The sequence below is a fragment of the Homo sapiens genome, chromosome 7, assembly GCF_000001405.40.
Source record: "Homo sapiens chromosome 7, GRCh38.p14 Primary Assembly".
Classification (NCBI taxonomy): domain Eukaryota; kingdom Metazoa; phylum Chordata; class Mammalia; order Primates; family Hominidae; genus Homo; species Homo sapiens.
The window spans coordinates 1960046-1975392 of NC_000007.14; the positions used below are offsets into that span (position 1 = coordinate 1960046).

At 50.2% G+C, this 15347-nt stretch overlaps 1 protein-coding gene across 5 annotated transcripts in view, besides 1 other annotated feature; it reads right to left on the reverse strand.

Moving 5' to 3' along the window:
* The window catches only part of MAD1L1 (mitotic arrest deficient 1 like 1), a 417151-nt gene that overhangs the window by 144251 nt on the left and 257553 nt on the right, over positions 1 to 15347 (reverse strand). The window lies entirely within an intron of this gene.
* Positions 1256 to 2455: an enhancer, noted in NCBI's record as "P300/CBP strongly-dependent group 1 enhancer chr7:2000936-2002135 (GRCh37/hg19 assembly coordinates)". NCBI's record gives its function as "activates an origin of replication core promoter dependent on BRD2, BRD4, P300/CBP, MED14 and CDK7 cofactors, with strong dependence on P300/CBP, by STARR-seq in HCT116 cells {active_cell/tissue: HCT116}" and the evidence as "EXISTENCE:reporter gene assay evidence [ECO:0000049][PMID:35650434]".

The following is a 15347-nucleotide window of genomic DNA, read 5'->3' on the forward strand; positions in this document are numbered from 1 at the left end:
AAAACCAACACTGTGGCTGTAAGGTGATTATACTGTGTGTGAGAAGACGTAATATCACTTGAAGGTAGGCTGTGGTAAGTTAAAGATGTATACTATATACCCTACAGCAAGCCCTAAAATAACAAAGACTTATAGCTAAGATGCCAAAAAAGGAAATAAAACAAAATCAGAAAAATACCAAAGTGGATTGAAAAAAGGTAAAAAGAAAAAAAAAAAAGGAAACAGAAATGAAGAAGAGACAGATGAGTAGAAAACAGTCAAATGACAAGATCAAAACTAATTATATCATAAACAAATTAGATGTAAGTAGCCTAACTACCACAATTAAAAGGCAGACACTCAAACTGGATTAAAAAGCAACACCCAATCAGACACCGCTGACAATAATGCACTTTAAATACAAAGATGCAAAAAGACATAACATGCCATCACTAAGAAAACCAGCAAGAGAAAGCCAGAGACGCTACTAATACCAGAAATAGTAAATTTCAGAGCACATATTATTACCAAGAAGGTAACTTATAATAATAAAGAGATTGATTAATCAAAGGAAAATAATAATCCTAAACATGTGTGTGCTAATAAAAGAGCTGCAAAACAAATGAAGCAAAACCAGCCAGAAATGCAGGGAGAAATAGACGGGTCCTCAATGACAATCTGAGACTTCAGTATCCCTCTCTCAATAGCTGATAGAACAACGGGCAAAAAATCAGGAGGACAAGGACCACATGATCAGCCAACTTGACCTATTTCACCTGGATAAATGCTTCGACTCTTAAGAGCAGGAGACCCAGTCTTTTCAGGAGCACTTGAACTATGTACCAAGAAGACCTCATGCTAAACCATAAAAGAAGGCTCAGTCTATTTAGGAATTTCATAATTCTAACTATGTTATAGGACCATCATGGAATTAAACTAGCAATCAGCACCAGAAAGTCATCTGGAAAATACTACTGACAAAAGCATCCAACACCATGAAATACACAGAGATGGAACGGAACAGGCCAAGAAAAACCTGCACGTGACAAGCTCCGAGCACTGTGAAGAGAGCTCCAGGGCAACCTCCACACAGGGAGAGAGAGAGGCCTTGTCCACAGGCTGGGAGACTCTGGGTGTTGGGAACGCACTTCTCCCCCAAATTAATCCACAGAATCAGCAACCTCAGTCAAAATCCCACAGGCTTCTTTGTACAAATTGGCAAGCTGATTCTAAAATTCATATGGAGATGTAATGGACCTAGAATAGAGAAAACAACATTGACAATGAAAAAGGAGGGGCTACCTAATTTCACCAACTACGTTAAAGCCGTAGTAATCACAACAGTGCAGTACTGGTCTGCAAGACAGACAGACCGATCAAACAAAACAGAGTCCAGAAATAGGAGCACAAACACAACCAATTTTTGAAAAATATATGAAGGCAATTCAGCGTAGAAAGGACAAACTCTTCAACAAATGGTTCTGGAACAACTGGGTGTTCTTGGGGGAAATAAAGAATTAAAATCTTGTACAATAAATGAAAATCCTGCTCAATCCTGAACCAAAAGTTACAAAGTTATTAAAAGAAAATACAGGAGAAAATCTTGTAAATTTGGGACAGCCAAAGATTTCTTAGCTATGATACCTGATAGGGTTTGGCTGTGTCCCCACCCAAATCTCATCTTGAATTGTAGCTCCCATAATCCCCATGTGTTGCGGGAGGGATATGGTGGGAGATAATGAATCAGAGGGCAGTTTCCCCCATACCATTCTCGTGTGTTGTGGGAGGGACATGGTGGGATATAATGAATCACAGGGCGGTTTCCCCCATACCATTCTCGTGTGTTGTGGGAGGGACATGGTGGGAGATAATGAATCACAGGGCGGTTTCCCCCATACCATTCTCGTGTGTTGTGGCAGGGACGTGGTGGGAGATAATGAATCACAGGGTGGTTTCCCCCATACCATTCTCGTGTGTTGTGGGAGGCCTGTGGTGGGAGATAATGAATCACAGGGCGGTTTCCCCCATACCGTTCTCACGTGTTGTGGGAGTGATGTGGTGGGAGATAATGAATCATAGGGCGGTTTCCCCCATACCATTCTCATCTATTGTGGGAAGGACACGGTGGGAGATAATGAATCACAGGGATGGTTTCCCACATACCATTCTCGTGGTCGTGAATAAGTCTCACAAGATCTGATTTTATAAGGGGTTTCCCCTTTGGCTTGGCTCTCATTCTCTCTTGTCTGCCACCATGTAAGATGTGCCTTTTGCCTGCTGCCATGATTGTGAGGCCTCCCCAGCCATGTAGAACTGTGAGTCCATTCAATCTCTTTTTCTTTATAAATTACTCAGTCCGGGTATGTCTTTATCAGCAGCATGAAAATGGACTAATATCCAAAGGATCATATATAACAGAAAACATTGAAAAATTGGACTTTATCATAAAAAAACTTCTCTTCAAAATACCTGATGAAAGAACGAAAAGACAAGACACAGACTGGGAGAAAATATTTGGAAAGCAAATAATCTGATAAAGGCCTTGTATCCAGAACATATAAAGAGCTCTCCCAAACTCAACAGTAAGAAAAATAATCAAATTTTAAAATGGACAAAAAAACAGGTGCTTTACCAAAGAAGATCTACAGATGACAAGTGAGCTGAATGAAAAGATGTTCAACATCATTAGTCATTTGTGAAATAAAAAATAAAAGGCCACAGTGAGACATGACTGCCAACCTATTAGAAAGCCTAAATGAAAACCTTTAAAAAACTAGCCGGGTGTGGTGGTGCACACCTGTAGTCCCAGCTACTCAGGAGGCTGGGGTGGGAGGATCACTTGAGCCCAGGAGTCAGAGGCTGCAGGCAGCTATGATCCCACCACTGCACTCCAGCCTGGGCAACAGAGCAAGACCCTGTCTGTAAAAGAAACATTTAAAAAAATAAAAGAGGGACTAAGGAAAAAGACTGTGCTGCATGCTGGTGAGGAGAAGCTGCACACCAACTACTCTGGAAGACGGGCAACCTCGGAACACGTTACACACGTGACCGCCAGCCACTCCACACTAGGCGTTTACCTGAAAGAAAACGAAGTCGATTTCTACATGGGACTTTATTTATAATATCCAGCAGTTTCAGAATAGCCAAAAACCAGAAAAACTCCAAATGTCCATCGCAAGGGAACGTATAAACTGGTGTCTCCATACGACAGAACACAACTCAGCAGTGAAGACAACACAGCTGTGTGCACAGTGATCTCTCCCCCAACCAGCCATGCTGCGTGGAAGAAGCAAAAAGAGGGAGACCACATGCTCCAGGACCAACGCCATGCCCAGAAGACTCGACAGCCGCCCGCCAATCTACAGTGATGGAAAGCACGTCGGCGGGTTTGGGGTGGGGAGAGGAGGCAGGGAGGAGGGATTCCTGTCAAACAAGAGCACATGTCTGGGGGTCTTGAATATGAATGTGGTAACGGCTCCATGGGTGTATGTGTGTGTACATGCAAATTCACCACACTGCACTTGACATCGCGCAGCTTACTGCACACCAGTTATACCTCAGGAAAGCTGTAAAAACCATACTGTAGTGAATGACCTCTGACATCTGCTTCCTGCTTGTACGGCGCACCTGCAGGACATGCTTCCGGAGGCGAGGCTGCTGGCCAGGGGCAAGTGTCTCTGTCATCCCAGCAGACGCCGTGCGCTGCCCTCCCTGGGTGTCTGGGGCACTCCCACTCACACCAACATCCTGAGCATGGGCCTAGAAGGTACTTCTGCAGCAACAATGCTTCGCTCCTCTTGAGGCAGGGAGCGCCGGCAGGGGAGACATCTGAGCACAGCCCAGTGTCACCGTCTCTCGGCAGGGTGGCCGTGCAGTGTGAGACCTAGCACACACCTCCGGCACCAGCTGATGCCTCCTGGAGAGGTTTTGGGAGCCCCGCAAGTGCTGTGGCTTTACAAACAACCCCCTCAGTCTTCACATCAATCTAGCAGGGAAGTCCTGGTGCCTGAGTAAAGGGGAGACTGAGGCTCAGAAAGCCATCTGAGAGGCCCCTGATCACAGAGCTGGTAAGGGGCCTGGCCGAGGGCCCAGGGTGGGTGTTCCTGACCCTCGCCTCCCAGGGCTTCATAGGGGAGTGAACCTGCCCAAGGTGATGAGTGACGACATGGTGGGGGCCTCCAAGGCCATCTCCGAGAAGCTGCCTTCTGCAGGGGCTTCTTGACTTAGGGAGACGCTGGATGAAAAGGCCCCTTTTAAAATGATATTATGGATTCTGAAGGCTTGGGAGCAAAATGCTTTCAAGGGCTGAATTGGAATGAGCGCACGCGTGTAGCTGCAGCCATGTTAACAGAATGACCTGCGTGACCCACCCTCGCCGCCAGACAGCAAGCCCACATGCGGGCTCATTTGTGCACCGAAGGGGTGCGCTTTCTTCTGCTGCCCTCCTTTCAGACAAACTGCTACCGCACAGAGAGCGAGAAAGAGAACAAACGAATAAACAAGTTGGGGGGATGGTGCTCAAAAGCTCAGAATTCTGGTTTGCCTTCAAATGGCTCAAAGCAATCAGTTCTGGCATAAGCTTCTTGAAATTGACTTACTGCAACTTTTTTAAACACGAGGAGCGCTACATAAATTAGCTGCCAGCCTAGATCTTTCCTCGAGAAGATGACGCCAATCAAAGCAGGTGCCTGTCTCCGAGCGTGTGCGTGGAAAGCAGGTGGAGGGTAGCCGGGATCTTGCTTATAACAAACCCATCACACACGGGGGAAACTTTTGCAAGAAAAATGATTAGTTGTTTTTGCTGAACTAAAAGATGCATAATGGGGGCGGGAGGCCTGGGTGCCGCAGGTGAGGCTCCTGGGGCCTGGAGAGGGGACAGTAGGGAGACCCGAGGCCCAACGGGCAGACAGCATCCAGTCCAGGAAGCCCCTCACCCAGGCCAGCCTCCCACGGGTCCCAGACCCCTGCACTGCCCGCCAGCCCCTCCCCAGTGGGCCTTGACCACCACACTTCACATTTTACTTCTCTGTCCCCTTCATCAAATGGCTAGCTCCACGTTTCCAGCCCTGATCATGGTGTCTGGCTCACAGCAGGCATTGATGACCATTTCCCTTGAACAACGGGTGTGGGAACCCCACCAGAGAGGCTGGCGAGTGGGGTACGTAGGACCCCCAGCCCTGGAGATGGTCACACAAGGGTGGGTGGGGCCCAGCTTAACCCAACACTCGCTGCGTGTCCTGACACGGAGCACCTCGCCCCTCCAGGCTTGTTTGTCATAAAGAGAGCACGTGACAAAGCCGCGCAGACATGGCAGTGTGACGGGTGCCCACGCCTGCCCTTCCTCTCCCACAGACAGGGCTACAATGCCTGGACACGTGCCCGGCTCTGGAAGGCCCACCGCACTGGTGGGTAGGGAACATCGTGGCTCTTCTCTCGCATCCCCTGACCTCAACCTCGTGCCACCATCCAGGCAGTGGTGAGGCTGCTGTACCAGGAGCTCAAGGCGAAGTCCTCCAGCACTCACCTGGGGGCCGGAAAAGAAAGCCACTGAGCTTCAGGAGCGTGGGACCCTCCCTGCTCGGAGTATGGACTCCCCGGCCCCCGTGGCCCCTGCCTCTGCTCTTCGCACACTACCACGGGCTCAGCCCACAGGGCTGCAGTGGCGGCAGGGAGCCTGAGGCAGGAGCCGTGCTCTCTGTCTGAAGCTGCTGTCGTTCCAGATGGGCAGGACAAACTCTAGCTGCGTTTTCCTCCCTGTCCTCCCTCCTGCAGGGCCGGGCGTGGGCCCAACCTCCATGACACCAGCAAAGTGCAACAGACGGTGCGAAGAGAGCCCCACGTCCCTGGAGGACCACAAAGGGGAGACCCAGAAACGTGAAAGGACCCGAAGATCACAGAATGGAAGGACTGAAAAGCGTAGTCCTGGAGAGTTGGGGGGCATCCCTGGGTCGGCCCATGCCTGGGTCCCATCCACACTGGCATCTGAAGCCGGTGAGAGCTGAGGGCGTCCCTGGGTTGGCCTGTGCCTGGGTCCCATCCACACTGGCCTCTGAAGCTGATGATAGCTAAGCTGACAGGCACTGCCAATGTCCCAGGCCAAGGCCAGGAGCGCTGCCAAGGCTTCACAACCTGAACTGGGATGGGAACCGCGCCCCACAGAAGGTCGCTGGGACCTGGGCTAGAAACCACCCAGGTCGGCTCACTGCTAAACTAAAACACTCTCATTTCTCACAGGACTTAAACACAAAACCTCTTCTCACAATGCTCAGGACATAACCCCAAATTACTCGGCACATGAAGAACCACAGAGATTTCAAGTCAGCCTGGAGAGAGGCAGTTCCAGCTGCTGGGGCTGAGGAGATGGGGCTGGGTTATCTGGGAAGTGCGGCGGAGAGGGGCCACAAGACGGCCCATGCAGACGAGTGTGCACGCTCTCACAGCACACGGAAACCCAAAGGTCTCAGCAAATTCACAGAAAAGTGAATTGCTGAAAAAGTATTTAAGGAAATAAATGGCTGAAATATCCCAAACTTGGCAAAAAAAAAAAAAAAACAAAAAAAATCCCTAGAGATTCAAGAAGCTGAGCAAACTCCAAACAGAATAAACCCAAAGAAATCCACACCCAGACACATCCAAACGAAACTGCTGAAAACTGAAGGCAAAAAAAATGGTGAAAACAGAAAAAAACTGTGTGACCTCAAAGGGAACAGCGATTCGAGCGTCTGCAAATCTCTCCCCAGGCAGGAACCGCGGTGAGGAGGAGGAACGCCGCAATCGTGGCGTGCTGGGAGGCGAGGGCCGCGGGCCGCGCTGCGTGCGCAGGGCAGAGCTCCTTCAGGAACACGAGAGGAATAAAGACGGACCCACCCGAGGGAAACCGTGAGGAATCGTAGCCACCTGCTCTCCAGGAGAGGCTGCCGGAAATCCTTCAGAAGGAAAGAGGACATGAAGGATACCTGGAGCATCGACAATGAAGGAGGAACAGATGGCAGCTATCTGGGCTTACAGATAATACCCGGGTCTCTTACTGCCCTTTTCAAAACACTGTATGACTGAAAACAAAACCTGTGGCATTTCCATGTAGGTAGAGGGACAGCAGGAAGGGAGAGGGCAAGGGACCTGCCGGGAGGGGCTTCCAGGTGTGACTTCAAGTGGGATGAGGCTGATTCTCAGTAGGCAGTGATAAGTACTCTAATTCCCAGAGCAAACACTCAAAACATCAGACTGAGAAATAGTCAGATGCCCATCTGCTAAATTAAAATGAAATACTAAAAACCATTCAAGTAACTCAACAGAAAGCAGGAAGCATGAAAAGGAAAAACAAAAATGGAGGAGACACACAAACAAATAATAAAATGGTAGCAATGAAAAGACAGAGATTGCCATGATGGTTTAGAAACTGACCCGATGACATCATGTATACAGAAACTCAAAGAACGGGTACAGGTACGCTGCAAGTAAAAGGACAGAAATATTTACAGCACGCAAACACTACGGTAAAGGCAGCTGGCGGGAGGGTGTAGAAGCAGTGCCGTCCCAGGAGCCACAGGCATACCCAGACCCTGACCTGGGCTGCTCAGGACTGTGCTGCCAAGAGAAGGCTCCGGGCTCCCTGGAGGAACGGATGATTGGAAAGCTGGGGCAGAGGACACGAGGTGAGTCTGGAGCACCCTGTGGTGCCAGAGAGTGAGGAAGGGCTCAGAAAACCCAATGACGGGGCACAGCAGGGCGCGGCCGGCCGCGGGGAGATCACGCAGCGAAACAAGTCCCGCTGCATGCACCGGATCAGAACACAGAGCACACGGCAAACACCCTCCAGTCCACACTGCTGGCAATAAACAAGTTCCGGTGCGTGCACCAGATCAGAACACAGAGCACGCGGGAAACTCCCTCCAGTCCACACTGCTGGTAATAAACAAGTCCTGGTGCGTGCACCAGATCAGAACACAGAGCACGTGGCAAACTCCCTCCAGTCCACACTGCTGGTAATAAATGAAGAAGTGAATAAATGGGGAAGAGGAGACACCTCCCTCACAGAACTCCACATCATACATGTAGAACTCATCCCTCCAGAGGGGGAGCGTCGCCTGTGCCCTGAGGGATTCGCTTCCAAGGAAGAGACTGGAGAAAGTGCAAACAGCTTCGCGGACGAGGCACCCGGCAGAGCACGCCTCAATCCGGCGGTCAGGTCCACCGTCGACGCCTCAGTCCGGCGGTCAGGTCCACCGTCAACACCAGCGGTCTTGTCCACATCAACGCCTCAGTCCAGCGGTCAGGTCCACTGTCAACGCCTCAGTCTGGTGGTCAGGTCAACCGTCCACACCTCAGTCCAGTGGTCAGGTCCACTGTCAATGCCTCAGTCCAGCGGTCAGGTCCACTGTCCATGCCTCAGTCCGGCGATCAGGTCCACCGTCAACGCCAGCAGTCATGTCCACCATCAATGCCTCAGTCCAGCGGTCAGGTCCACTGTCCATGCCTCAGTCCGGCGGTCAGGTCCACCGTCAATGCCAGCGGTCATGTCCACCATCAACGCCTCAGTCCAGCGGTCAGGTCCACTGTCCACGCCTCAGTCCGGCAGTCAGGTCCGCTGTCAACGCCTCAGTCCAGCGGTCAGGTCCACCTGCTGTTGCGTGGATGTCAGGGGCTCCCTGATGGGACGTGGTGAGAAAGGACTTGTCGTCTGTGATCTTCCTTCCAAAAACCACCATCTCAGGTTAACAATGAAACACATCACACAAGCTCGCTTCGGGGGCGTTCTAGGGACTCCTAAACATACTGAGGTCAGGAGAAGCGAGGAAAGACAAAACTGTCACCGACCAGCGGCAGAAGAGATGTGACGACTAAAATCAACACGGTGCCCTGGCTGCAACATGCAGGAAAGCCTGGTGGATCCAAACAAGGGCTGGAGACAGGCCCAGAGTCACACGCCGGTGACGAGCACCATGGCAGCGTGAGATGTCAACAGCGAGAGAAACCGGGTGAAGAGGGTATGAGAACTCTCCGTCCAATTTCCGCAACTTGCCTATTGAATCTGGTAAACAGTGTGGCAATTCCATCTTTTCAAAAAATCGACTGTTGGCCAGGTGTGGTGGCTCCCGCCTGTAATCCCAGCACTTTGGGAGGCCGAGGTGAGTGGATCACCTGAGGTCAGCAGTTTAAGACCAGCCTGGCCAACGTGATGAAACCCCATCTGTATTAAAAATACAAAAATTAGCCAGGCATGGTGGCACATGATTGTAATCACAGCTACTCGGGAGGCTGAGGCAGGATTCACTTGAACCCGGGAGGCAGAGGTTGCAGTGAGCCAAGATGGTGCCACTACACTCCAGCCTGGGTGACAGAGCGAAACTCCACCTCAAAAATAATAAATAAATAAATAAAACAAAAAACCTATAGCTTATGTCAATCTCAATGGTGAAAGGCTAAAAGCTTTTCCCCTAAATCAGGAACAAGACAAGAATGTCTGCTTTTGCTGCTTCTATTCAACATAGCCAGAACAATTAGTCAAGAAAAAGAAATAAATTGTATCCAAATTGGAAAAGAAAAAGTGAAACTACTTCTCTCTCTTTGCAGATGCCAGGCTACAGAAAACCCTAAAGAAGCTGCAAATAACCTGTTCTAGTCAATAAACAAAATCAGCAAAGTTGCAAAATACAAAGTCAACACACAAAAGATCAGTTGTATTTCCCTGTATTAGGAACAAGCAATCTGACAAGGAAATCAAGAAAACAATTCCATTCATAACAGCATCAAAAAGAACAAAACACTCTGCAATACATTTACCCAAGGAGGCATAAGATTTGTACCCTAAAAACTGCCAAACATTGCTAAAAGAAATGGAAGAAAACCTAAGTAAATGTAAAGCCATCTGTGTCAGGGAGAAGAAGACTGCCCACTGTTTACCCGTCAGCGGAGTCAAACCCCCTGAAAAAGAACCACCACCAGGGAGACTCATAGCTCCTGACCTCAAAATTTATGAGAAAGCTACCTAAGTGAAAAAGGAACTGACTTTTATACACAAACAACCTGGATGGATCTCGCTCGAGGGCGTTGTGCTGAATGAAAGGAGCCAGTCTCAAAAGACTGCATGTTGTAGGACTGGGCTGGAAAAAGCCGAGCCGCAGAGTTGAGCAGACATGTGCAGCTGCCGGGAGGTCCCTGTGTGGCTGGGTGAATGGAAAGGGGGACCATGGAGGATTCCTGAAGGGTTGATGTTATTTTGCACTCTGATTACAGGGTGATTAGAGTTCATAGAGCTGTATCCTATAAGAAAAAAGTTAATTTTACTATATAATTTTAATTTTTACTTTTTTTTTTTTTTTTTTTTTTGAGACAGTCTCACTCTGTTACCCAGGTTGGAGTGCAGTGGCACGATCTCGGCTCACTGCAACCTCCACCTCCCAGGTTCAAGTGATCCTCGTGTCTCAACCTCCCAAGTAGCTGGAATTACAGGCACGCGCCACCACGCCCAGCTAAGTTTTCCATTTTTAGTAGAGACGGGGTTTCGCTATGTTGGCCAGGCTGGTCTCAATCTCCTGACCTCAGGTGATCTGCCGGCCTTGGTCTTTCAAAGTGCTGAGATAAAAGGCGTGAGCCACCATGCCCAGCCTATTATATAATTTTAAAAGTAAAAAATTTAAACACCTGCTGGGCTGTGTCCTATATCTTACTGTGGTGGCTGCATGCTTGTGCATACATCTATTGAGACGTGACGGTGGCATCTGGTGGGGGAATGGTGGTAGAATTGTAGATCATTGCTGGCATTCTTTAGAACTGCAGGCATGTGGTGGTAAGAAGTGCATCCACTTTTATTTACTTATTGTTTTAAAACTCTGAAGATAATGTAGCCTCTATGACCTGCTCCCCGGATAAGGGTACCACCGCCCGCCCTTGGTACTCGCCGACCATGAACTCAGGTTTAAATGAATCCCTTCCATTGTGTGCGAGTTGCGCTAATACAGTAGATATCCTTAAACTCCTTCTCAGGCCTGCAGTTAGAATTCAGTAGTGTGGAGATGCATGCAGTGCCACCCGGGGCCCACAGCCAGCCCTTCGGTGTGCGAGTTCCACCTCAATACAGTGAATATCCTTAAACCCCGTCTCAGGCCCGCAGTTAGAACTCGATCAACGTGGAGATGCACGCAGTGCCATGCGGGGCCCACAGTGAGCCCCGCACAAACATCACTTGCCTCTCACTGCAATCATGGCCACCGCTGCTGCTGGGGGCTGTTGCCGTCACCAGTAAGAAACACAAGCGATGGGATTTCTCAGTGCAGCCAGGCTCCTACAGGCTACAGTTGGTCTTTCCAGACACACAGAATTCTCTCGCACAGAAGTCAAAACATGGCCAACAGTTCACCTTCATTCTCACTAGGTGAAAACGCGAAACCACTCAAGCTCCAAAAGGGGTTAATCAACTATACATTAAGACTTACAAAAACCTATAAAAACATGGGGAAGTGTTTATGTTATAATATATAGTGGAGAAACAGGATGCAAATGATGTGTGTTTCACTTAAAATATATATTATATAAACGGAAAAATCATCAAAGACTTCAGTTAAAGACGGTAGCTTGAACACGTGCACTTAAGTGTAATCTCTCTCAAAATCCCGGTAAAACAAGGGTAAAGGTTTTGCTTACTTTTTTTGAGGCATTTACCTGAAGACAAAGAAAAGAAGGCACAGCATCAAATAGCCTTTAAAATGGAAGCTGGAAAGCTTCCAGACAGATGAGTGGCAAACGACCCCAGAAAAGCTGAATCCCACGCCAGCAATGGAACAGCCAAGAAGCTTTGACACCACAAGCTCCCCAGGTTCAGGGATACCCACCCCAGCAACAATTTCCGGAAGCAGGGAGGAGGGAGCGCTGGAACTGCAGGGCTGGCTGGAGACCTTTAAAACAGAATGAAGACCTCATCACAGATTCACAGCAATTTGTGGGAAACGTACAAGGAGGTCCGTGTCCTCTTTACCCAATCTCCCTCGATGGTAACAACTTAAACAGCAATATCAAAAACGGGACAACTAACATGGGTACAATCCAGAGACTGCTCGCCTGCCGCCAGCTCACAGACACTTCCCTCCATGTCTACTCCCACGTGATCTGTCATATGTGTGGATGTGTGCGCCCACAACTGCCATCCAGACACAGGCCTGTCCTGACACCGGAAGGCTCGCCCCGCTGTCCTTTTGTACACACATGCACCCCCGTGCCTAAACCCTAGCAATCTCTTCAATTTTCTGTGTCAAATTGATCTTAATTATTAACTGTTTGGTAGATTTCTCTAGGGAAACCATTTGGGCCTAGGGATATCCTTCGCATCTTTATGACTTCAATTTTTTTTAAAAAAATAGTTTACAAGATTATTCAGATAACCTATTTCATCTTGGTCGAGTCTGGTGGCTTGTGGGTTCTGAGGAGTGAGTCCGCTGCTTCAAGTTGTTTGTGGCATAACACCCTCTGCTTAATGGCTACAGGGCCTGTAGTGATGGCCCCTATTTCATTGCTGATATTGATGATTTTGGTGGTGTCTTTTTATTTTTGTCAAATTTGCTAGAGATTTGTCAATTTTATTGAATTTTTTTTCCAAAAAAGCCAGAACTTATTGTTTTAATAATTTTCTCTATTTTTTTTTTAATTTCATTGCTTTTTGCTCATGTTATTTCCTTCATCCATGCTTGCTCTGGGCTATTCCACTCTCCTTTCTCCAGGTTATTGAGATAGGAACATAAATTAAGAGACCATTCCTCTTTCTCAACGTGAACACTGAGCATGACGTACTTCCTTCTCAGCACCGGTCTAGCTGGACCCCACTTACTTAGATGTGTGTATTTCCATTATTGCCCAGTGTACTTATTTGTACCGGGAGACCTCCTCCCCCACACGGGCAATGCAGACATGTGTTGCTAATCTCCTAATGCTTAGAGACTTCCCTGTTGTTCTTCTGTTACTGACATCTAGTTTGGGTTCATTACACTCAGAGCACACAGTCTGAGTGAATTCGATTCTTTCGAATTTACTGGGGTCTCTTTGATGACCCGTGATGTGATCTGTTGTGACTGTCCCAGGTGAATGCAGAGGCAAGAGTCCTCTGCTCTCGGACAGGGTGTTCCACAGACACTGATTAGGTCCTGCGGGCTGATGAGGACACTCAGTTCCGTCAGTCGTGGAGGCTGAGGTGTGAGTTCTCAACTGTAAATGTAGATCTGCCCGATTCTCTGTTCATCCCAGACACTTCTGCGTCCTGGGTTTTCTAACTGTTATTTGGCTTGTGTACATCTAGGAGTGCCAGACCTGGGGGCAGAGTGGGAGTTCTGCCACCGCACAGACCTGGCGGACACCATCCTGGTACACGCGGAGTGCGGACGTGCACCTGCTCACAAGGGCGACAGACAGGCAGGTGTGAACTGGGCCCCTAGAGTGGGGATGCGTACCCCACTCACGAGGGCCACGGAAGGGTGGATGCGAGCTGGGCCCCTACAGTGGGGAATGTGTACCTGCTCACGAGGGCCGCAGACAGCTGGGTACGAGCTCAGCCCCTAGAGCGGGAATGTGTACCCCACACACGAGGACCACAGACAGGGGGGTGCGAGCTGGGCCCCTGCCTGTCTCGCCACCACCACGGACAGGAGGCATGAAGGGCAGCGGCAGCCTCCCTGCTGCAGGGTGTGGGGAAGGCCCTGCTGAGCCTCTGACATGGGGTCCTGGGGGTTGAAGACCCCCCTCCACATCCTGCTCTGCCTCGGTGCTGGGTGAGGTGTAGGCTCCGATCCCTGTTGGGCATGGCAACACTACTGGACCAGAGAGCCAGAGCTGGGCCTGCCTCTGCTGAATGGCACCAAGGTCCCTGCCATCAGCCCTGCTGACCCTGCCCAGCACAGACACAGGAGCAGTGCCGGCTGCTGAAGGCTGGGGCAGGAGACGCGCTCCCCGAGGGGCCACGCTGATGCTGCTGGGCGGGGACAGGGCACTCTGCTGGCTTCTGCTTCTGGGAGTGAAGGGCAGGAGCCTGCATGTCACTCTGCACATCCTGCATAAGATCTCCGGGCTGAGACAGGCCCTTAGGTAAGGCACGGACAGGGTGCCCCACCGCAAGAGGAGTCCTGCATTGGCGACACACTTCCCTGCTCAGCCCCCAGGAGCTGGCAGCACAGGCCCCCACGCCAGAGTCACCCAGGCTGGAGAGGAAAGATCAGAGGCCCCTCCCAAGGGCTCCCCAGTGGAAGACCCAGCCGGATTCCTCGGAGAAGCACAGGGCAAACCCACCCTGGCACAGGCAGCTGGGACCACCAAACGCTTAAGGAAATCATCCAGAAAGAAAAGAGTAAGGTCCAACACTGGCAGAAAAACAGCAACTTAGAGCAACAGAGAACAGGGTTCACTAGGAGAAGAAAACTCCAAAAAGCACTATTATTAACATCAAAGACACAGTGACCCCACTGCACTCATGAACACTGACAGGATGCTTTATACATAAAAGAATCCTCAGAGAACAGAAACAGACTCTCAGGAAACGAAGAGTATAGCAACAAATAAAATAAGAACAGGTTAACAAAGCTGAGAAAATACAGAAGGTAGGACAAAAATAAGGAAAATAGGATCAAAAAGATTTAAGAGAGAGAAAACTATTCGAAAATCCAACATCCAAGTAACAGTTTCAGAAAGAAGACACAGAAAACAGAGGAGAGGAAATGATCAGTGAACAGAGCCAGGAAAGCTCTCAAGAGCGGAAGGGCGTGAGACGCCAGAAGGAAAGGCCTGGAGTGCCCAATGCAGCGCACAGAGCAGGCCCCGGCCAGAGTGTTCGGGTAACCTGAGGATGCTGGGGACCAGGGGACCAGGGGAGGTGGGCAGGCTTTCGGAGAGAAAGAAGCAGGTCCGGGGTACAGGACCCAGGCAGGCAGGGCCCTGAGGACCCAAGCTGCAGGCCGGACCTGGGGAGCGCACCTGCCTTCACTGGCTGTGGTCACCGGCACCACCTGCAGAGCCCAGGCGCAGGGGCCGCTGTCGCTACCGGCAGCCAGGCAGTGGGCTGGGGACAGCTCTGGTGGTCACGGGCCTGCTGACAGTGCTGCCCAGCCAGGTGGAGGCAGCTCACCAGCCTTCACCCTGTTGACCTGGCTGCCTCAGCCTGCTCCTGAAGCTGCTCGGGGGAGGGAGAATGAGGCCACAAAGGCTCCCCAGGTCCTGCCCTGGGCTCCTGATCCCCAGATGGGCTGGGCAGTCCATCACCAGGCCCCCTCGGGGCCACGCCTTCCCACCTGGGACCATAGCATCTGAGGGTGACCTCTTTCCAGCCACAGCTGCCCTTCCAATGGGACCAATCACTTGTACTCCAGACCCGGCCCAGCCAGCAGGTTCTCCAC